The 22,649-nt window shown below is 38.9% G+C and overlaps 1 protein-coding gene across 9 annotated transcripts in view; it reads right to left on the reverse strand.

Moving 5' to 3' along the window:
- Window positions 1–22,649, reverse strand: part of MID1 (midline 1) — a 388,374-nt gene that overhangs the window by 19,897 nt on the left and 345,828 nt on the right. For 6 of the 9 annotated variants that reach the window (NM_033290.4, NM_001098624.2, NM_033289.2 and 3 more), the window contains exons 5-7: window positions 17,274–17,422; window positions 9,417–9,544; window positions 4,491–4,634 (exon numbers count right to left, since the gene is read on the reverse strand). In NM_033290.4, coding sequence (NP_150632.1) covers window positions 4,491–4,634; window positions 9,417–9,544; window positions 17,274–17,422 — 421 coding nt within the window. Of the gene's footprint in view, window positions 1–4,058; window positions 4,635–9,416; window positions 9,545–17,273; window positions 17,423–22,649 lie in introns of those variants that run through there. The other 3 variants (NM_001193280.1, NM_001193279.1, NM_001193278.1) reach the window with 1 other exon arrangement.

Raw genomic sequence — 22,649 nt, forward strand, 5'->3', positions numbered from 1 at the left:
ATATATATACACACACACACACACACACACACACACACACACACACACACACACATACATATATGAAAGAATAAAAGAAAACCAAAAGAAATTTCAGGAGAGACATAACCATCTGAGGAAGACATGCCCTAGGATGGTCCCCAGGATTCCAACTCCCTGGTATTCATAACTGTGTAATATTATCTCCTTAGTGTAAACAGGACCTGTCATCTGCTTCTAACCAACAGAATATGGCAAAGGACAAAGGTCTATCACTTTTATTACTCCTGTTTTTATATTACATTATATGACAAAGGCGAAGGCGAAGGGAGTTTACAGATATAATTAAGGTCCCTAATTATTTGATTTGGAGCTAATCAAATGGCAGATTATTCTGGGTGAGTCTGACCTAGTCAAGTGAGTCCTTTAAAGACAGGTTTGGAGGTGACAGATTTGAAGTAGCAGACTCTCTCCCTTGCTGGCCTTGACGAAGCAAGCTGCCATGAATTCCACAACCACAATGAAACAAATTTGTCAACAAATGGAGGGAGCTAAGAAGTAGATTCTTCCTTAGTTGAGTCTCCAGATGAATGCAGCCCAGCCAACACCTTAATTTCAGACTGTGACACCCTAAGAAGAAGACCCAGCTCAACTATGCCAGAATCCTAACCCATGGAAACTGAAATAATAAGTGGGTATTGTTTTAAACTGCTAAGTTTTTGGAAATTTGTTTCACAGCAATAGAAAACTGTTAGCACTTTTCCTGAATCAGACGAAAATGATTTGAGAGAAATATAGCATTTCTCACATGGGCCAAGAACCACTCTTTTGGTATAAAATGACTCCAAATGTTTTCTTTTTCCGGTTAGACTATTCACTCATCAACAGACGTTGGTTCTATCAGTCCTCTATGTATTTTCAGAGAACCTTCCTTGGTGTTTTACAATGAATCATCTCTCCATTTTCTACCTGCTCTTCTCAGACCTTCACGTGCTTCTTTTCTCTTACCTTGGAATTTCTGATCATCTTTTGAATTTCATCTTCTTCAAGTTTGATACAATCCCTGGTTCAGTTTATCCCAAATATGCTAGTGATATTAATCACAAAATATTGAGAAAACAATTCCTTAAGTGAAGACAAAATACATTAATTATATTCCCCCCTTTTTGTTGTGTTTTTCCTTCCATGCTACATAGTATAGTAGTGTGTGTGGATCAGTGTGTTATGGTCTCAGTATTTAGCATGTAATCATGTAGATATTATACATTTACCTTGTTTTAAATTAGGGTTTCTCAACTTCGACATTACTGACATTTTGGGCCAGATAGTTCTCTGTTGTTGGGGGATTTCTTGTGCATTGTGGGAGATTTCCCATCTTTCCTCACTTCTACCCACTAGATGCCAATAGCACCCTCCTCCTAGGTTTTGAGAACCAAAAGTCTCTAGAGACATTGTCAAATGTCCCTTAGGGGGCAAAACTGCCCTTGTTGAGAATCACTGCTTATATGAAGGAGTGACTATTTAGTATGATATTAGTGATCATAGATTAACTTGTGTTTCAGGTTTATGGTGAAGCACAATCAAGGTTTAAAATTTTACTAGACTTTAATTCCACGTTAAGTTTATGGTATATGTAGCCAAGATCAGTGAAATACAATAAGCTCATACAGCTGGAAAAATGCATTTAAAAATCATGTCATCTCTCTGAAGGGCAATTTGGCAATGTCAAGTAAAATTAAATGCAAATAATCTTTTCCTAGAAATTGCACCTCAAGAGATTATACTACAGATATAATTCCCCGTGTGTGGAAGGAGAGATATTCAAGGATATCTTGAACATCCTTGGGGATACTGGGGCATTGTTTGTAAGGGCCAAAGATTGGAAACAAGCTAAATAAACATCTATAGAAGATGGGATAAATAAATTAGAGCATATCTTTAAAATAGGATATGATACTGCCTCAAAAAGGAATGAGGCAGTTCTTTATTTGTGCTGAAATGGAATGATATCTCAGACATAATATTTATTGAAAAAAACAAGGTAAAGCATTGTGTATGATATGCACATGTAGAAAAATATTTTAGAGAATTAGTATTTCTTTATGATTTGCAGTAGGGCATATAGAGTCAGAAATGAGGAATGATACCAGAAGAATTCAAAATCCTAGAAGGTGAGCAAAATGTTACTAAACCATTGCTATACAGGCCTTCTGCGACTTGCCCCAAAAAGCACTTCAAATATCTGAGGACACTGATGATTTTTTCCCAGGAAAATGGGCCAGACGCAGAGAAGTCTTCCTGGAATTATCTTTTCCTTTCCATCTCTGATGCTGGTGCCATTTGCAGGTCCTGGCTATTTCTGCCTCAGTGAATTACTACGAAACTTCCCAGCTGATGTCTCTGCTTCTGGTCCTGCCCTGTTCCTCTCCACTCTCCACAGTGCTCCTGAGTCACCTTCTAGTTATACCTCTGATTACATTACTGTCCTGCATGACTCTCAAGCCCACAGGGTAAAATCCAAACATGGTATGGCCTGGGTAGCCCTCTGCAATCTAGCTCTTGCCTGTGAATTAGGATTAGGTGACTGAGGATTAAGGATTAAGAACATGTGCTTTTTGGAGCTAGGCCAATATAGGTTTGAGCCCTGGTTCTATTTCTCTATCTTCATTTCTCACTGTCTCCCTTTCCTCACTTACCAGCCAGGCTTAATTAGGCAAGACCTCCCACTATGCCCTGCTACGTTACATCTTGATAGATTTGCTTATGATGACATAGCTGTCCGGTACAGCCTTAACTTGCTAAAATGCACCCGCTTTTTTTCAAGACTTAGTTTAACCACAACTTCCCCCAAGACATTTTTGTCCCACTCACCATTTCTGACCTTTCTATATTCCCTACTGACTCAGGCAGCTTGCCAGAGCTGTTCTTGACATTGCATGACTTTCTCCACTTTCATTTAAAAATTACACATTCTTGGTAAATGGCAAGATTTTAATAAAAGCTTCCACGGCAGGCCAATTATAGGGTAGAAGGTGAGGGAGTTGAGGAGAGGAAGTTGGAGAAGTTGGGGAGAGTGGATATAAGGAAGGTAGGGGGAGCCATTTGTTGGTATGGGTCATTTATACTTTAGTCCCTTAGAACTTGGTGTATTTCTGCATCACTCTTTTAATTAATCCTAAATCAAATTTCTATGTTAAGCATCGTATGACTCAGAATTACTTGTGCTAGGAAAGAGCAGTTTGTAGTTAAGAGAGAAAAGGTTTATATAATAAAAGCACATTAAATTGATATGAATTTATTCAAAACATCTCTTTGTTGAAACATGACTGCTATTCTATTCTGTTCTATTTTGACATATTGTATTTTTCTTTGTTAAAGAAGTTTCAAGCTTGCTCCCGTGAAAAGCCATGTCTTCTGGTCCATTGCCATTTGCCCAGTTCAATTTAAATAACTCTGTGGGTTGGAGGACTGCTTCCTCTGTTATCATCTCTGTGGCCTGCTACTACTGCTATTTGAAATCACCAAGTTATCTCTGATGCCAGATATCAAATAGGCCTCAGTGAGAGGGGGCACCTCTAATGTTTCAGGTAAGGTTGGAAATTCTTCCCGGGTGGGGCCAGTTACTAACATTTTAAGTGATGGGCCCAGCTCTCTCCTCTGAATGGGACCAGGTATTTAACTTTCTTTGGCTATTTATTTTATTAAATCCTTTCTTTTAAAATATGTGAAGTAACACTCAGGAAAGTACATAAAACTAAATGTATGATAAAATGACTAAAGCATGTAACTTTCACCTAGAAATTGCCATTAACCCCAAGAACCCCTGTATATTTCTTTCCAGTGGTGCCACTTGCCCTTTAATCCTGGAGGTAGCCATCATCCTGACTTTTTATTTTTATTTTTTTGAGACAGCATTCTCACTGTTGCCCCGGCTGGAGTACTGTAGTGTGATCTCTGCCCACTGCAACCTCTGCTTCTTGGGCTCAAGCCATCCTCCTGCCTCAGCCTCCTGAGTAGTTGGGACTACAGGTGTGTGTCACCACACCCCGCTAATTTTTGTATTTTTTTTGTATTTTTTGTAGAGATGGGGTTTCACCAGGTTGCCCAGGGTTTATAGTTTTAACACCTATGAATGTTTCTTTAAGCAAAATAGTTTATTTTGATCTTTAAGTTATGAACCTATATGTGGATTAATACTATATATATATATTTGTTTCTCTCTCTATGTATCTCTCTATATATTTGTTTCTCTCTATATATTTGTTTCTGGCTTCTTTCCCTTAACATCCATGTGGTTTGCTAGAGGTCATTAATTTTCATCAATATTTAGCCAGCTGTTTTTACTAATGTAGTACAAGTGAGTGCTATCACTTTTTTGTTCAAGAAAGACAAGTCAATAAATATTGTGTGTTCTTTCCTTCCTTGTCTTCCTTTGAAGTTTAAATTCAGGAATGCAATCAATCTGAAGAAAGCCACCAAAGACAGAAATAAATAGGCCATGAGATACTCACTAACGACGTTGGCTTGTCCGGTGAATATGGTGTACTGGAGCTCGTAGGAGACCACGCTGAACTCATCATCGGAGGTCCAATGCACAGTGATGGTGTCATATGAAGCTGTGCAGAGCTCTTCTCTAATTGTGGGAGGGTTGGGAGCTGTGGGGGTCAAGAATGCTTATCAGTGGAAAAGCACACACAACTGGGATACCATTTCAGAGGAGATGTTTGACAGTTAAGCAGGTCCTTCTCAATAGGTCCATCAGGACTACTATCCTAGAGATGGTGACCCCAATCTAAAGAATATCTGATTGGCTGGTTATTGCTTTTGTTTTTAATAAGGAGTGTGACTAGAGTCAGCCAGTATGGACTTTCTGTGTTTATCATGAGATCATGAGAATATGTTTGGGAGGTTAAACAAATAATACTTTCTTGTGCATGAAGGAAAACTTGTCAAATAAAAAGTAAACAAGATAAAGTTTCATAGCTGCATTCACTTTGGGAGGTTGGCTAACTTTTTCAGTAAAGGCCTTGATGGTAAATGTTTCCAGCTTTGTGGGCCATACAGTCTCTGTTGCAACTAGTCAACTCTGCCATTGTAGCATGAAAACAGTCACAACTTATACATGTGGGCATGGCCAGGTTCCAATAAAACTTTATTTACAAATATAGGTAGAGGGTCAGATTTGGGCTGTAACCCAAAGTTCACCAACCCCTGACCTATTAATACGTGGTGCCAGATACTTATATCTTTAGGCACCCAATTGAAAAAATACTTATGTTTGTTATCCTACAAAAAATCAGCCACATAATTGTTTGAATTTTTCTTTCATTAGATGTTTCGATGACTTACATAAAAAAAAGAACTTACTAGTCCAGCCCTATTTTCTTCTCATTTCTCAACTCATGCGATATTTCAAATTCAGAAGACCATGATTCATAGTCAATCATATCTAAAAGGTACATTTTCCTTCCCCAAGGAAAAAACTTTTTTTTGGCATTTGGTTAATTTATCATTGTAGAAGGCTGCTGTTTTATTTCTTTAACACATTCTGGAGCAGAGAAGTCTAAGTCCTACCAAAATAATGAGTTTAAAATGACTTCTACTGAATTGATTTCAGTAACTGGTTTTATGAGAAGAGTATGTGAGCAAGGAAAATATGAGAAAATGAGTGCTTTGCATTGTAAATAATATTTTAGAGGGAGGGGTTGGCAAACTGTGACTGTGGGCCAAGTCTGGCCCACTGCCTGTTTTTGTAAATAAAGTTTTATTGGAACACAGCCAGATTCATTCATTTATGTATTGTCTATGGCTGCTTTGGAGCAACAGCAAAGTTGAGTAGTTGTGGCCATATGGACTGCAAAGCCTAAAGTGTCTACTATCTGGTGGTTTGCAGTCAAAGTTTGCTGACCTCTGGTTTAGAGAATTGATCCAGGGCCTTTACTTCCACTCTTCTACCCACTAGAATCTCACTTCAAAAGGAGAAACATACCTGCACTCTACAAACTAGGAGCAACCTTTGCTTGTACTATTTCAGAGTTATTTCCTGCTCTAAATTATGATTAGAATTGATGAGTCCTAAGCAAACCCAAAGAGGAAGAAAAGTTTATAAAAACTGTAAATTTAAACTCTGCGTTAGTAGTCTTCACTTTGCTTTTTGAATATACCTCTAGGACAAGTATCACAGAAGCAAGTCTACGGTATTAAGTCAATTAGCTTAGCTTTATCTATTGGTTCTGAATTCCAGAAACATTGTTGAGCACCTCCAACGTGACAGGCATGGCATTAAATTGTGCATTAAGACAGAAGGGTTCTACATAACCTTTAAAGCATTCTTTCTGGAATATGTATTTGTACATCTGTCTCCTGAAGTATTCACATGTGAGATTTAGTGTCATGTGGTATGACTTGGATGTGCATGAATCAGTGACACCAATCAGGATATGCATTCCACGGAGGAGGTCCAGCTGCATCGTAAAATGTGCTTATTATTGTCTGTGTGGTCCCTGTTGGTGTGGGATCACTCCTGCATGGACCAGTGAAGAAATACTTACTCTCTCACAATTTAAACAGTTCATTGAATTATTTCTCCATCAACCATTGTAGAAAAATTTTGTTCTGTATTGCAATATACAATTAAATAGAAAGAAAACGTATGTTCAAAATAGGCAAGTAGCTGTGAGACACATGGTAGTAGCCATAATCAGGAAGGAAATGTCACCTCTATGGGTTATTAACTTGATATACCACTTAGAGGCATGTCATAGGAAAAAAAAAATCTTGTTTTTACAATGAGACAGGCTAACCTTATTTTGACTGTAAACCCAATGAGTTTGTCCTGAGAAGTCAATACTCAATTTAGTGTAAATGAGAACAGCAGCATGCTGCCAATTTCAATACTCATGGAATCAGTACCAGAAGTGTTATTTTCTTGTCTCTGTCACAAACACCACCCAAGGAATGGTGGGCTAATACTCCACAAAGACTTCATTTCCTGCTTACAAATGTCATAAACTATTTGGACTTGGCAGTATCAGCCAAGCATCATATGTTATGGTCAGGATCGATGTTATGTCTAGAAATGGACTGAATTTGTATTTGGGGTTGACAGCTCAGAAGACATAATAGCAGGTACCCCATATGGCCTTTAGTTTGAAATAAACAGCCATCGGGATGAAATATGGTGTATGTTACAATTCAGTCTAAACTACTTTCACAATTTCCCCTTTAATCAATACTTTTGCATTCCTATAGAGATTAAAATGGGTATATGTTGTTGAAATACTATGAAATAATTATTGGGAAATGGCAAGGGCACATTCTTGTCAATAAGACTGATTCTGGGCAGAATGGCCATGTGCCTAGGCAAATACTTAATTTTCCAGTCTTTTCTGTCCCTGGACATGACCTTGTAACACAGATACAGCCCACCAGACATAAGTGGAAGTTTGCTAGGCGGGTCTTCTGATCAAGCTTTTTGTTTTTCTGATAAACAAACTTCACTGGCAGAGCATTTTGTCCATCGTTTCCCCTCCACCCCTTTCTTTTTGCCTAGAGCTTGAGCACAACACTTGGAGGTGGAGTAGTCATGTTGTGATCATGTGGCAAAAAGGCAACACAATGAAGGCGGCAGAGGAGGAAAAAAGAAAGAGCCTGGGGTCTGAGGTCGTCACTGAACCACTGCCCAGCCCTGGAACACAGGCTTCTCTTCTGTGACTGTAATACAAACACTCCTTGATGGTTTTATTCACTGCTAGTTGGATTTTTTGTTGCTTGCAACTAAACTCATTCGCAAATGATATAAGAAAAAGGAGATTTTTAACAGGATGCCACTGTGAAAAACAGCTTAGCTGGAGAAAGTCTAGACCTGCACTGTTCAATACAATAGCCACGAGCTACATGTGGTGGTTTAAATTTCAATTAAATTTAGTTGAAGTTAAATAAAAGTAAAAATTCACTAGCCACATTTCAAGTTTTCAATAGCCCCATGTGGGAGGCAGCTAACGCTGGATAGTACAGATATAGAACATATCTATCATCATAGAAAGTTTTATTGGATAGTGTCAGTTTAAATAAATCTCAGAGTTAAAAGCTTAAATAGGAGGGCATTATGTACACAAATATTTGAAACCAAGTTTAGTTCCATACGGTAAATGCTTTTTTAGTCAATTTCTTTCTTCCTTAATAGGAGTGGTATGTTTGAAAGAGAGAGTTACATAAGATAAGAAGTTTGTGGAATGCCTGCCTGCCTTGCTTGACAATGCAGAAAGGCTAAAAACGGCACATTGGGTCCTCGCAAAGAAAAAATGCTCATCTTCTGGGTACAATGCTCCCTGAATATAGAACCCCTGGCCTTCTATCCACAGACTGTAAAAACAAACATCACACAATGTTCCCTTTCTCCTGCTCCACCTTGTTCAATCGCTTTCTCACAAACATGTACACACAGAATTGGAATTGAGAAGCTCATGTCACGCTAAGTTAGAGACGTGGTCTCTTGAAGGCTGTATGTCTTAAGTGCAGCGCACATCTGGCTTCACTGTGTACATTGTGCTTTCCTGAAGTCGCAGGCACTGGTGGCTTTGGCTAACACGAATAAGGTTGTCTAAACAGTCCAGGTTCTACCAGTGAATATTCTCAGTTCCTACTTTAGAAGTTGACAGCAAAGAAAAGTTTAGAAGCATGCTTAGGAATAGGAGTGGCCTGAGGTTTTTGTTGTTTTGTTGTTGTTTTTGTTTTTTAAGCTCAACCAAGGGAGAAACAAAACAAAACAAAACACCAACCAGGAAGCACACTGAAACACAGCACTAGGAATTCCAATGTAAATTTGTGACCTTTGCCATGGTGACATTTGCCAAGATAAAATTCAGTCTTTTACTAGAAAGAGCAGAAGTTTTTGGAGTTTGTACAGGTCCCAGCCAAATTCTAATTCTGTCATTCCCTAGTTACCTGATTTCCAGCAAGACGGCTGATCTCTGTCATTTGCAAAATGGGGATTATAATGCTTTACCTCAACTCGATGTTGTGCAAATTAAAACAAGATCACAAATACAAGGAGATGAAGCAGTACAGACAACCAATCAGTTAGCTGCCAATTTTTTCTCTGCCAATGTATTGTGAGTTGCTTACTACTATGATATGAAAAATACCACAGAGAGATACTATTTTTAGCACCCACACCTTGAGAGTGAGGGAAACAGTGGTAAGTATGCTTTTAATGGTTGAGATTCTCCTTTTTCTCCTGTCCCCAGTTTAGTAATGGGCTGTGTTGTTTTGATGAAAAAACAAAGGGCAATGCACAGAAATTGTTTATGGAAATATCAGTGCCATTCCTAGGTCAAAAGCCCATTCCTCTGGTTATTGGGGAATAACTGATCTGGTGGCAAAGTGTTTATATCACTAAGTGTGCACAATATTAAAGAGAACATAAAAGACAATACCTGTAAGGTAATCCAGACATTCTAGCAGTTTCTTCTCTCGGGAAAAATCTAAGGCAAAGGTGTCAAATGTGTCATTGAGGTTGATTTCAGGAATTAGAACCTGGGAGGATGCAGTTGCCATGGAGACTCTGTAATGCAAACAAAACAATGTTTCAGAAATGTCAAGATGACTTTCAACATCACTGCATAGAAATGAAAAAGAAAAGGAAAATAAATATCTCTTAAAAAGTGCTTTTTTACACATGAGTTTTAAGAGGCATCTCAAAATGTCACAACACAGTAACATAAAACAAATGAATGCAAGCTTTAAAAAAAAGTGAAGGAATTGGAGAAAACAACAAAATGGCTTGCCCTCTTCCTTTTTACTATCAGGAAAAAAAATTCCCTGCGAAAGCAAAAGAATATTCATATTTCATGTTGCTGTGTATTTAACAGTCTGGCCCGGTCACGTCTAACCCCAGCAAGAAGCGCGTAGCTCTAGGCATTTCTTCACACATCTGTCTGGGAAACTGTTTGTTCCTTTCAGACGCAACCCTGATCCACTTCAAAGGAGAGTCTCCAAAATTTCAAACTGCATAAAAGGCAAAGTGAATATTAAAAAAGAATGTTTCCAGATATTGGATTAGTTTAATCAATTACTAGCCTCTCTCTAAAATAAACATTAAAAAGGGAGTTTTTTGTCTGGCTCATTTTCTTTCTCTTTGTATTCATTTTCTTGCACCATATTCCCAGCAGATGCTGTGGAAAATATTCATGAGCTTTCTCACAAATCCCCCCAGTGGATGCACTATTTCTCTTCTTCATTTAGGTTTTCTGGTTAGAGTTCTCATGTATAAACTAAAAAGCAAGGCACTGGTGTGTCTCAATCTCCTTCTATGTACTCTCAGGTTCATTTGGAAGGTTCAGTTATTAATAATGAACACTTTGATTCAAAAATGCAAGTGCTTCTCTTAAAAACAAGAGAATTGTGGCATGAAGCATACCATTTCTGAGCATATCAAATGATGCTGGACTAGTAATCTTGTTGAGTTTGGTATTTTGTTAAGTTCCATAAACAACACTCTTAAGAGCTATTATATGCGGAGTATTGCGTAGGATGCTGGGAATTTTTGAGCAAAGAAACAACCTTGAAACAATTTAGTACTAAATCTAGTTACTTATTTTCTAATTAAGAAAATTGATGCTCATTTATACAAGGCCACAAAGCTAGCTGGCAGCAGCAAGGAGGAGAATTTCAGATCTGTACTCTTCTGTTTCATCTAGAAAAATTTCAGGCCAGTTACTCCAAGGGTTATATGTCCTTTTGAGTCTCTTAATGGCTCTTAAAGCTTTGGATTTACAAATGTAATATATCTTGGCTCTAAAAATTACATCTGTGGGTATATATCTATACAACAGGATATTATTCAGCCATAAAAAGGGATGAAACACTGACACACGCTACGATGTGGATAAAGCCTAAAAACATTATGCTCTGTGAAAGAAGCCATCAAAAAGGCCACATATTGTATGATCCATTTGTATGAAATGTCCAAAAAAGGCAAAAATTCATAAAGACAGGGAGTAGATTGGTGGTTGCTAGGGGCTAAGAGGGGAGGGGAGATGGGGAGTAACTGCTTAATGAGTATAAGGCTTACTTTTGGTATGATGGAAGTGTTTTGGAACTTGATAGAGGTGGTGGCTACACAACAATGTGAATGTCCTAAATGCCACTGAATCGTGCATTCAGAAGCAGAGTCTCACTATGTTGCCCAGGTTGGTCTTGAACTCCTGGGCCCAAGCGATCACCCTTTGGGAGGCCTTGGCCTCCCAAAGTGCTGGGATTACAGGTATGAGCCACCACACCCAGCCTTAAAATGGTTAATTTTATGTTGTGTAAATTTCACCCATCTAAAAAAGAATATACCTGTAAAATGCTCAAAATTCATAGAAATACAGTTTCTATAGTTGTATTTCTGGCAGATTTTCAGTGTTGTACAGGAGGGAAGGAGAGAGCCTAATCAACAATGTCATAAATGTAATGATACTGGGATTGAAAGATGCAAGTGAAGAGGTCTAAGCTCTGGAAACGAGTTTCAAGTGTCTGAATGAGGGTAGAGAATCTAACTGCATCTCCTGACCCTTTCACCAAGAAGTAGTGAATAGCAGAGTTGAGTGCTTTTGTTGACTAAATATTGCACCCTGGGGAATTGGGCTAATTATTGTTACCAACAGCTGCTAATTTAGACTGATGGATACGGAGATGGTTGCTAGGCATTTTTGATTGATGGTCAAGTTATACTTTAAAAATGCTTTCCTTATGACCCATGAACACAAAAAGTCCTTAAACTTCATAGAGGTCCTAGGATTATTCTCAACAAATATTTATGAAGCCCTTAAACTATGCTACACACCAAAGAGCCCAGAATATATGCATTCGATGCAGAAAAGTTAAAAGAAATGCTAAGGTGCCATTTGAACCCTTAAAAGATATCGCAAAGTGAAACGCCAATTAATTCTCCATCATAATGTCTGGCAGGGAGAACTGTTCTGAGCTACTGGGAAACAAGCACCAAACTTGCAATTGCATTTCCCTGGCTTTAGCAGTTTCCCTGCCCACTGGCAGAAACCTCTTTATTCAGTCTCATCCAAAATAGATTTTGTTCCCAAGTTTCTCCTGGTTCCATGGTCTACAAACAATTAAATAAAACATTTTAAATTGAGTGACACTGTTAATAATGTCTACCATCTTGATGGTAGGAACTTTGTTACATGGGAACCAAAAGGATCAAAGTTCCTAGCCTGGGAGGTAAAGGCTGACAGCAAGAATCAGTGGAGATTACTGCAGCTTTTAACACCTACACATTTGTTTTTTGATGGAAGGAAAGATACTTATCTTTGGCTACAACTTCAAATTCCTAATTGGAGTGACAGGCAAGGGGAAATCTGCCAAATTCAACATTTTAGGCCATGTTTTTATTTCCCAAATCCTTATTGCCCATCTTCTGGCCTTTTGGATAAGTTGCCAAATCCACTAGGGCTGTTAGCGCTATGCCACTTTCTCAACTTCTTGCTTTACAGCCATGTCTGGGACACATGGGGCCAGTTTTCCAGAAGGTGGACGTGTCTGGAGCTATGCTGCTCACAAGGCTTCTGCCAAACAATGTGCATCACCAAAGTAAAACCCAGTGAGGCCTCACAGTAACAAGATAGGTTTACTTTGGTCAGCCCAGGAATTCCCAAACACATTTGGCCTTGAAAACGTGCAGTTATCTTAATGCCTATGAACACCCTGCAGACACACTTCCAAAACCACTGATCAGATATGCTCTAATTCTTTGAACCAAGCAACATCTTTTCAGAATTGACAACTGGAGTTCTTGGCTTTGTATTCTGGAAAAGATCCTTGAACTGCCTATTGTAGTGAGGAACAGAAGGATCACCTTGAGGAGTCTGAGAACCTCCTAGGTGCTTTGAACAATAGGTACTATTCAGAGGGAAGTTTCTTTTTATCACCTTCTTGATACAGATAAGTTACTGCTATAAGGGATTTTAATTCTAGATTCTTCATAAGCAGACCAACTTTCTTATGCCTGGACTTAGTGAATAGCTTTGCTTATTTAAAATAATGCTATAAAGGTGCATATACAATCACACCAAAGACCTATCTACTAGTGTAGCTTGAGAATATAGTACATTATACATTTGCATTCATCTAGTGAGTGGGAAGGAAGAGAACTAGTATTTGTTGCATGTTCATCTTGTGACAGAAACTAGGCTAATGTTTTTACTACATTATTGCATTTTATCCCCACAATAACCATCTTAGGTAGGAATAATTAGTCCCGTCTTACAGATTTATGGATCCATTCATTCATTCACTCATTCACTCATGTCAGGCAGCTCGCAATGTGCTGGGGCTATAATGGTAAAAACAAGGTGGCTAGGGTACCTGCCTACTTGGAGTATATGAGCAAAATTAGCCAATGTTAATGAGCAGCCTCAATGCTATCTATAATTACTAAGCAATTAGCACAGAGCCAAACAACCGGTTCCAAAGCAAAAGCATCTCCTACAATGTAAAGCTTGAGGCTCTCTCCCCTTTTGGAGTTGTTTGATGTTTCTGAAATGAAAGAAAAATTTACAGTTTTGATTCAGCTTGTAGGAGGACATATCCACTTTAAGTCGCTTAACGATGCAGAAAATCTCATCTAAGTCTCACTTCAAGAATGCCTGCGGGATTAAAAGTTTGTTCTGGGCTCCACACCTGAATTGAAGAATAAAGATTGTTTGGAAGTATACAGGAGCCAAAGCCCAAGGCAGGCACAATAGGAGACAGAAAAAAGAAGTCATGTCCTAGAGAAGAATGTTAAGTGACAGGTTGATGAATAGGGGCAGGTAGACAGAGAGTAGCATTGGAAAAAAGACACACAAGGCGGGCTAGACTGACATGTTGAAACGTGAAAACAGAGATCCAACTAACACTCATGGAGTAGCTATAATGCTAATGACCTGTTCTTAGGAACTTAAAGCAATGTCATCACAACAGTGACAGCTATTCTGAAACCAATTTTTTTAAATAATTTTTTTATTAGTAAAAACAATTCTTTTGTGGGTATATAGTAGGTGTTTATATTTATGGAGTACATGAGATATTTTGATACAGGCATGCAATGTGAAATAAGCACATCACAGAGAATAAGTTATCAATCCCCTCAAGCATTTATCCTTTGGGTTACAAACAATCCAGTTACATTTTTAAGTTTTTTTTTAAACATACGATTAAGTTATTATTGACTATAGTCACCCTATTGTGCTACCAAATAGTAGGTCTTATTCATTCTTTCTTTTTTCCCATTAACCATCCCTACCCACCCCCACTCCCACAACTCCCTACTATACTTCCCAGCCTCTGGTAACCATCCTTCTACTCTCTATGTCCGTGAGTTCAATCGTTTTGATTTTTAGATTCCACAAATAAGTGACAGCATGCAATGTTTGTCTTTCTGTGCCTGGCTTAGTTCACTTAATGATCTGCAGTTCCATCCATGTTGTTGCAAATAACTAGATCTCATCCTTTTTTATGGTTGACTAGTACTCCATTGTATATATGTACCACATTTTCTTTATTCATTCATCTGTTGATGGACACTTAGGTTGCTTCCAAATCTTAGCTATTGTAAAAGTGCTGCAGCAAACACAGGAGTGAGGATATCTCTTCTATATACTGATTTCGTTTCTTTTGGGTATGTACCTAGCAGTAGGATTGCTGGATTATATGATAGCTTAATTTTTGGATTTTTGAGGAACCTCCAAACTGTTCCTGAACCCAATTTTCTAAGTAGAAAATAGCTCAAAGACCCATAGTTAAAAAGTGGCAGTGCTAGGACTGGAACCCAGGTCTGCCAACTTCTAGTCTAAGCCCAGTGTCCTTTTTCTATATCCTAGCTGCTGGAAGGATAGAAAGGCTCAGGAATTAGCCAAGAGGATTGACAAATAGTGATGGGAGGAGAGGGGACTGCAGAAACAGAGACAAGGCTCTTGGCAAATTTTTACAGGCTCTGTGAATTCAAACTTGACAGAAGCACATTCTTTGTAGAAAGAGAAATCAAAGTCATGTTCCTGCTCTTGATGAGTTGGGCTTGTTATAGAGAGAGCTGAATGGGAGCAGATACGTCCCACTGGAACTGAGGGAGATTGTATGTGGGCATTCCCACACCTGTGCTATACTTCAGATGCATATCTTCTTTCAGCAATAACTGTTATGGGGTCACATCATCCCTGGTCACTAGGTAAGAATTTATTCATGTGACACTTGGTTGAATCTTCAGGGATTGATGAGGAATGCAGTTCATAATAGCCATTTCATCTGGACATCTCAAAGTTCATAGATGGAGAAAAGTACTCCTGGATTCCGGTTGGAAACCGTGACCTAAGTGTAAACGCTATCTATTAGTGTCCTAGGTACACTGGAGTATTAGTGCTATTTGCAGTTTTTAACTTTAGGGTGAATATTGAGCAACTGGATATGGCCCAGGGAAAATAAACATTTGGAACCAAGGAATCAGGAGGAAAGAAATGGGCCTCTCAGAGTAAGGAGGAGAGCATCTTAAGTACATAACAGGGATGATAGCCAGCTGTTATCCATGCCTTTTAGAAGAGATAAGTATCTAATCAGCTACAAAAGGAATTTTCCTCAAATATAAGAAATAATACAGTCAAGCCGATTGGACAGTAGACCAGAGTTGTAAAAACACGATACATTACTCTTTAAGAAGAGTGAAAATGGAGATGTCAATCACTCCTCCTCTATGCGATATTTTGAGAATTAGCACAAGTTTCCGAAACAAGCAAGCACTCAATAAATGTTAGTTTCCTTTCTCTTTCTTTGAATAAATTTGAGTCATAAGATGGCGAGTATTTTTTTTCCTAGGCCAGGGGTTGGCAAAGTATGGTCTACTGCCTGTTTTTGTAATGGTTTTATTGGCACACAGCCACACCCATTTGTTTCTATATTATCTATGGCCGCTTTAGAGCTAGCTACAATGGCAGAGTTGAGTAGCTGTGACCAAGACCTTACAACCTGCAAAGCGGAAAAATATTTACTTGATGATCCTTTATAGAAAAAGTCTGCTGATCTCTGCTCTAGGATGAAGATCAGCATGCATGAGCTCTCTGGGGTCTTCTAGAGATAGGATTCTATTATTGCTTTGGATAAAGGGCAGTTGACTCTGAAAATTAGAATGAATGAAGTCAAGGCCATTAGCCTGAGTTAGAGATGTCATTTATGTGGCATTGGCTGTACCTGGCCCAGCCTAGTGCTTCTCTTTGTTTTTTCATTTATTTATTTTTTTTGGAGAAAGAGTCTCGCTCTGTTGCCCAGGCTGAAGTGCAGTGGCACGATCTCGGCTCACTGCAACCTCCGCCTCCCAGGTTCAAGCAATTCTCCTGCCTCAGCCTCCCAAGTAGCTGGGATTACAGGCGCCTGCCACCACGCCTAGCTAATTTTTGTATTTTTTTTTTTAGCAGGGACCAGGTTTCACCATGTTAGTCAGGCTGGTCTCGAACTCCTGACCTCAGGTGATCCACCCGCCTTGGCCTCCCAAAGTGCTGGGATTACAGGCGTGAGCCACCGTGCCCGGCTAGTGCTTTTCTTTGGATCCACTAGAATTGCTATAGGTGTTTGTGTCAGTGAAGATGAGCAATTTTTATACCAACCAAGTATGTGTGCCGAAAAAATACTTATCTTTGCCAGTTTTACTGCTGAGCCAACCATTCAGATAACATCACATTAAAGCTCCCTACCTGAGAATAAAGAGTATTTTAAAAGAAGCCCGTATGAGGTTGACAGTTTGGTCCTTTCTCTCCTGCGTGAGTTGGCCTTGACCTTTTCAGGTGAGGCCAAGCTCCTCAACCAAATGAAAATGGGCCTAACAGAGAACAACACCTGTGTGATTTTAAAAAAAAATAGATGAGCCCTGTGATGGAAGAAAATATTCCCTTTAATGTTTTTGCCTTCATTTTGACTCTTTGTTATCAAGTGTACGATAACATCACATCTGAGAGTCACAATAAATGCTGTTTTTGTGCCATCATAAGCTCCCCCCTCGTCCAAAAGCAGGTTGATTTTATTCTTTCTAACTGGTGGACTCTTGTTTCAAAGGCCTTGAACTCCAGACTCCAGGCTGTTACTGAAAGGGCTTTCACATGTCAAAAGGAAGCATCTTTAGCTGGAACAAAACAGCTCAAAGCCTCTATTCTCTCTGGTACTGAGCCTTGAAAATGAAAATAAAAGCAAGGCGAGGGCAAGACCAACCAATCACAGCGCAGATACAAGAGCCCAGCAGCCGAGAAATTCCCAGGGGCCCCTGCACTCACCTCTCGGTGATATTCTTAGCAGTCTGTAGGAAACGCGCATGATCATTCTCCTTCAGAGAGTGTTCCGCTTGGGAGATGAGTGATGCTGACCGCTCAATGCACTGTTTGCAGTTTGCAATCTGCTGAGCCAGTTTGCGAAGCCTCATCACCTTGAACAAAAGAGGCATGGAGAGAGATGGTTACATGGGTGGTCTTGCTTAATGAAAAGGCATCAGGCTGGATCCTTCATTTTGTTGTGTTATCCTTCCATAAAAGTTCAAAAAGTAGGCATAGAGATATATCAAAATATGGAAAGCTCCGTTATGGGACTCTGGTTTAGATATTCCTTATCTCATTGGAGAAGCATTGCTAATTCGTTTTACGAGGAAACACTGAATTGTGAATTGCTTCCCTGTTGATGGGAAAAAAAGGTGTTGCCCAGTGGCAACTTACAAAGGGTCACCAGACGTCTTCCCTGGACTATTCCACACAATGACTGCAAGACTGTAGGGAACCCTGGAACTTTCTCTATCTCAGGTTTATCTTCTTTTCATCAAGAAGATAAAACATCTTTATAGGTGGTGAATCTATGGTTTAAATGAAAACCATTTTCTAAAAAGTGTTTTTTGTAATTCATGTAATAAAATCGAGAATGGAAAGCATTAAGTGTTACTATTTCCCACACTACCTAAAACTCATGTGTTAAATTAACAGAAAGGGAGCATTTTTCCCATTGATTAATATTTTTCCTGTTGAGCAGATGAGAGAAAGCCAAAAAAAGCACAGCTGGGCCATTTCCCCTCACTGGGAACGTCATTTCCAGGCACTTTGTGCTTACTTGATAACTAGGAACTATTTTGATAAGCATTTCCCAGTTGGGATAAAAACGCATGATTGCTTCACAACCTCCATTCCAATTCCTGATTCTGTCTCGCTTGAAAATGTCCCTCAAACATAATTGACCATAACCTCCGGGGCAGGCCAAGATAAGTCCAAGGTAACCCACTTGACCGTTCGCTCTTGTGTTTGAAATGTGCTGTGAGATGAAGTCCTCTAGCCAGAAGCCAAGTTAAAATTAGACAGCTAATTGGAATTGCTGTGTGCCTACTGCCCCCAACCACACACCCAGGGACAGGTTTCAACCGGCTTTATGATAATTCTGGAATGGAAAATAGCCCTGGGTGAAAGGGTACGGAGGAGACCAGTCAATCTGTCTTACAGACAAGGCTGGCCCAAGGCTCTCTCCAGAATTCCTGCTAATTCCAAGAAATTCTTTCTTTCTCCAAGTCGTCATTACCATCCCTGTATAACTCTAATCTAAGAAAAGGAAGGAAAGAGATGTCAGAACTTGAGGCCTCTAAGGAACATCCAATTCCAAGTATGTACTATAAGCAAACAAAGGAAATTCATACTGAATTAGAAGCAGCAGGCACAAGATTTCAGGCAAGGGTGAAAAAAATTCCTGAAAGAGTCAGAGAATGAAGTGTCAAAACTTTAGGGCAAATAATATAGGATCGTGAGCCTGGTAAAAGACTTAATGCATTATAATTATAGTTACTGTCCCCAGTGGATTAATTGTATTCATTAGTGGAATAAAATAACACTTATTTTACACCAAATAGAATTTAGCCTCTGGCATCATTCTATCTGGAGGCAAAGCTAAGGAAGGCATCCAGTACGCGCAGGATATTAGAACATGTTCATAAGAAACTGTCAGAGGAAGGAAAATTCCAGAAGGAAAACTAATTTACAGTCCACAGGACAAACCAAGTGAATGGAATATTTAATCACACAGCATAAAGAATCATTTAAATTACATGGCCGAATTGCAGATGTTTAATACAATTCCAGCAAAAGAAAATAAGGTCAAAATATTCCTTTAGAATAACTTCATGACAACTACTTATCCTTTAGATATGCCTATTAAAGACCACACACATTTCAAATGCGATGATGCTTGAACTCCAGTTTCTTCTTTTCTTTTTCTATCATGATATTGAACATTAAAAGTGACATAACAGGAAAAAGAATAAAAGAGCCCTAAATCATGCAAAAATTAAAGCAAGACAAAATGAGAGTCGCCTGTGAAAATATCGGAATGTTCTACAGAGAACAATTTTGGGCATAATTTTAGTTATAGGTTAGTGTACAATTTCATCTGATACATCTGATTTGAGCTTTGCAAACCTAGTGTAAAAGAATCAGCTGGGCATCATTTTGAAAGAAAAACAGTAGATGTTTGGGTCTACGCTCCAATATTTGAGTTAAGGAGTTGTAATTCGCAGAGCAGGAGGAATTTCCATTTCAACAAGCAACAAATGTTTTTAAGCCTGCAGGTGATGAATCATTAGGACAGTCAGGACTAGCCTTTAAAAAACCAAATAGAAGAGGAGAAAAGCAAATAGCAGAGTGCATTCCTGGTAGAAAAGGCAAGTTGGGTTTTGTAAAACCTTTTGTGTGTGTGCATGCGTGCACGCTGTATTGTGATGTCATATATATTTCTTACTGCGGGTTACAGTAAAAAAAAAAAGAAAAAAGAAAAACACTGCTCTAAGTTAGGTGTTCCTAGGCTGTGATCTGTGGGCCAAATCAGCATACAGCCTGTTTGTGTAAATAAAGCTTTATTGGCATACTACCACACTCATTGGTTACACATAATCTATGGCTGCTTTCTTGCTACAATGTTGTGCAGAAGTGAGTTGCTGCAACAGAGACCGTATGGCAAAGCCTAAAATATTTGTTATCTGGCCCTTGACAGAAAAGTCGGCTAACCCCTGGCTTAAATGATTACAGTCAGATGGCCCTGATTTGCAGCACACTCTGAAACACTGTCCTACTTGTCACAGCACTTCAAACTCAGACACCCAGCATGGAGCGAAGTACTTAGTTTTCTATTAGACAACACTTTTTAATGTATTATTTTTAAAAGTTGACAAGGTGAATAAAATTTGATGTTTAAAAAAATTAGATACTGACACATAAAAAGATTCTGTATGTGTCTGCCTTAATGCTGCAAGGGAAATATTTTCCAGTCAACTCTTCATTTTTCCTTTGGGAAGTGAGATTACCACATTGCAACTTTTGGAATTTACTCTCTACTAGTCATGGAAATAGTTTGCCTGCTGGAATCTCCTTTTAGCAGGGACACAGGGCTGTTTATATCATTTTATTTGCTGTTTATTATACCTTACACATTCTTTTAAAAGCCGCTTTATTTTGCTTGAAATGCGTTTTAAACACTTATTTTTATATAAATCTTTTTATATGTATGTAGGATACACAACCCAAAACAATTAGGTCCAAACAATGCATCCTCAATTCACACAAGTATCTGAACTGAAAATGAGGCCTGTTCTCACCATCTCTTTAAGGCCATGGAGAGCTCAACATTTAGTCCAAGTTAATTTTCTTAAACTTTTAAGATTTAGTGTACATAAAAGGCAGTGAAGAAAAGGGACCCTTATTTTGTTGAGCTTTGGCCTTCAGAAGTCTACCATAGATCTCTGTGTCTGAACATTAAATGAATGAACTCAATCTGAATTTAGCTCTTTGTGTGTTGACATGAAACTTATCCCCGACTACTGAAAAAAAGAAGAAAATTCTTTTCCAGGGAGCCTCATGGCTTAAGACTCTCCAGTCCGCCCACCTATAAAGGCTGTCGAGTTAATTTGTTTCAGAGAATGTACAATGGTCCAAGAGCAGGAATCATCAGTAGGTACTAACGTGTAATAATATCACCTGCTTGGTGACCTCGTCAATTGCAGAATTTGAGGTGAGTTTGACAGCTGAGTGACTAGTGTCAGAGATAGACAGGGGCAAAATAAGGCAGTTGATGAAACTCACTTTTGTGATCTCCACAATTCTGCCTGGTTCTTGCTCCACCTGCCCACTTCCAATTGCTTGTCAGAAGGCCCCACCATCCGTTCTTTAGACTCAATGCCCTCAGTTGCCACTGCCATCCTGGGGTGCAGGGACCCAAGTCCCCCAGTGAACCCCAAGTCCACACTTGCCCTCCCTGTCTGGCACCTCAGATTTCCACGGGTTGGCATTCACACCCTTCCTCTTAAAAACAGGCCTCTGACACAATATGCCCTGGCTAGGGACTTGAGTCACTGTGAGTTTCAGGGTTTGGAATGAACTAGTCCTTGGTCATGTGCCAAAGTACTAGCTCAAGAGAAAAGGAGTGCGGCCCTCATCTTTCCCAAGTAACATCTGCTTTCTAAGATTGCCTTCTGAGATAATGTTGCTGAGCAAATGTATACTTTTTAAAAAGTGAAGCATTCCATACATACAAAAAATTTAAGAATATAATGAACTGTCCTGTACATAGTACCAGGTTTACTAAATCTCAGTATTTTCATCATATGAGCTTCAGAGTTTTCAAAAGGAAGTAAAAAAGATTTTTTTTTGAGACAGGGTCTTGCTCTGTCACCCAGGCTGGAGTGTAGTAGCATGATTACGGATCACTGCAGCTTTGACCTTCCAGGCTCAAGCAATCCTCCTGCCTCAGCCACCTGACTAGCTGAGATCACAGGCACATGCCACTACACCCGGCTAATTTTTATTTTTATTTTTATTTTTTGTAGTGATGGGGAACCACTATGTTGCCCAGGCTGGTCTCAAACTCCTGGGCTCAAGTGATCCTCTCGCCTTGGCCTCCCAAAGTGCTGGGATTATAGGCATGAGCCACCACACCTGGTGGTAAAATATTATTGATAGCATTAAAGCCTCTGTGTGGCACTTTATAATCTCACTCATGTCTCTCTCCAGAAGAAAAGACCCTCTCAAATTTAGAGCTGATCACTCCCAAACATGTTTATGTACACATACCTAAACAATGTATGGGATTTTTTGGTAGTTTATTAAATTTTATATAATGCTTGTACAAATAATTATATAACTTTCTTCTGTTTTTGTGATTTGTCCGTGCTAATACATATCACCCTAGTTCATTAATTTTAATTTCTGAAGACTTTTTCATTATATAATACACAATTTATATGTCTAATAAACAGCTGAATTGAGATAGAATTTACATATCATAAACAGTACATACTTAAAGTGCAAATTTGACACTTTTTCAAATATGTATGCACCCATGAAACAGTCACCACAGTCAAGATAATAAACATATATATCATGCCCCACAATTTACTCCTGCCCCTTTGTAATTAACTGTGCCCATCCTTTCCTGTCATCCCATCCCTAAAAGCAATCATTGATTTGCTTTTTGTCACTGTAGATTAGTAGAAAGTGCCGTTTCTCGAATTTCATATGAATCTACTCATACAGAATATACTACTTTCTGTCTGACTCCTTTCACGCACCTTAATTATACTGAGATCCATCCATGTTGTTGCATTATAACTAGTGTAACTAGTTTATTCCTTTTTATTG

Source organism: Homo sapiens, chromosome X (assembly GCF_000001405.40).
Source record: "Homo sapiens chromosome X, GRCh38.p14 Primary Assembly".
Lineage (NCBI taxonomy): Eukaryota > Metazoa > Chordata > Mammalia > Primates > Hominidae > Homo > Homo sapiens.